The sequence below is a fragment of the Homo sapiens genome, chromosome 2 (genome assembly GCF_000001405.40).
Source record: "Homo sapiens chromosome 2, GRCh38.p14 Primary Assembly".
Classification (NCBI taxonomy): domain Eukaryota; kingdom Metazoa; phylum Chordata; class Mammalia; order Primates; family Hominidae; genus Homo; species Homo sapiens.
Genome location: NC_000002.12, coordinates 114,247,561 through 114,249,406, shown reverse-complemented (window position 1 = coordinate 114,249,406; position 1,846 = coordinate 114,247,561). Strand labels below are relative to the sequence as shown.

The following is a 1,846-nucleotide window of genomic DNA, read 5'->3' as shown; positions in this document are numbered from 1 at the left end:
TCCTAATTGCAGAGTAAAACTGACCTGACTTCATCAGTGTCTTTAATCTGGTTAGAATGTAAGTGAGGTTTTCATTTCGCAAATCCATGCAGTCCTCACGCCAAGCCAACACAGGTGTATCTGGCTCACTGGCAATCTAAGCACAGCTGAAGCATTTCCACTCCATCAACAATTTCCTTTCCTCTCACATCAGTGTTGCAACCCCACATTTACATTTGGCTGAGCACATTGGTTTCAGGAGTTATCCAAATCGCCACACAATCCATTTTCCCACTTTAAGCAAATATGGAAAGCCAACACAACTCTCATATATCTACTTAACACCTACTTTCTCGAATTTCCTGATCTAAATAGGAATTTGTTGCTACAAGCATCTCCCTTGGAAACTCTCCAGGAAAATTCAGGCTCTTCTTTCTACTCATGATTAAGCCTCAAGGTCCTGTCAGTGCAGCCAGGTCAGAAGAACAGCCACAGTAAATCGATGAAAAGATGTAAAGAGGGCCTTCATTAACAGGGCAATAGAAATTTCCTCTGTGAACCTATCTCCATATGAATGGCCAACAATACAGGATGAGTATATGAAGGGGTGTGCCTGACCTAGCAAGTTACACTCTAGCTCCCAATCCATGATTTAAGGGCTATCTGTTGTTCCCCCACATTCTCACGATGAAGGAGTATTGTGAATTACATGCTCATTTGAAAATACAGTCCTACAGGGACTCCCACAGAATGGATGTGGTGGAGTGAGCTGCATGTTCGCTGTTGCCGGGCAGTCGCCAGAAGCCAAAATGTGAGTTTGAATTAGGATTTCTGGGGATGGTATTAAGAACACCTTGGCAAGTTGACAAGCCAGAGATTAGATTCAGTTCCCCAAGTTGTGAGAAATCCTATTTGTTCTAGATGCTAACCACTTCTCACTTAACCTACAACCACTTTTTCCTGGAAAACCAAATAGAAAAAAATATAGATATATTCTTTAATTTCTCTGTTGTTTCAATATTATGGCAAAACTTGGGCAAAAGGTTAATCAAGTTATCTCCCCATTATGAACTTATGAAAGCTTATGCTGTATAAAATCTTCCCAACAGCAACATGTAATGTAGGGTGTCCTAATGATGTTTTTTTGAACCACTTCATATTTTCTGAGAGATGGCTTCTGTGGGAGGAATAACTGCTTTATGATGTAATATAGAGAAGAATAAAGAATTAATTCCGGCTTTGGGCTTTGCTTTATTTAGCTGCAAAATTAAAGCACTGGAATTCTCATCACTTAACAGGAATTCGTGTAACATTTTACCTGAATATACATCCAGACAGAGAGGTTCTGCACTAAGATTGAATGCTCATAATGTAACAATATATTACTTTATATAATGTATATAATAATAATATAGTTCTTTTCATAATTGAAATATTGATAATTAATAGAAAATAAAAGAAAAGATAACTACATATTTGTAATTGCATGTACCTGATTAAAAAGTAGGGTGGCCCAAACTCGCATACCCTCTGACCTAATAATTTGTCTTTTCAATATATATCTTTTTCTAAGCCCGCCTTTTCTAGAAAACAAAGCCTGAGACAATATTTACATAGAAAGTCTTATGAGGAGTATAATCGCAAGGAAGCTAGAGTAAGGAAAAAAGAAAATGAGGCAAAGAAAGGCAAAAATAAAATACAAAATGTTATATAATTAATTTGGTTGTGGTCTCATTAGAAACCATATCTGGTTGCTCACCTACACAGCCCATCTCCTGAAGGGGCATTGGAAACACTGTGTCTCATAACAACTTATCGGGTGGAGGGAGAGTAATTTATCAGCCAGCTCCCTCATATCCCCTGTTTG

At 37.9% G+C, this 1,846-nt stretch overlaps 1 annotated feature.

The window, feature by feature from the left end:
• Positions 260–801: an enhancer, noted in NCBI's record as "NANOG hESC enhancer chr2:115006183-115006724 (GRCh37/hg19 assembly coordinates)". NCBI's record gives its function as "activates a minimal SCP1, AML or CMV promoter by ChIP-STARR-seq in naive and primed H9 embryonic stem cells {active_cell/tissue: H9 hESC(naive and primed)}" and the evidence as "EXISTENCE:reporter gene assay evidence [ECO:0000049][PMID:30033119]".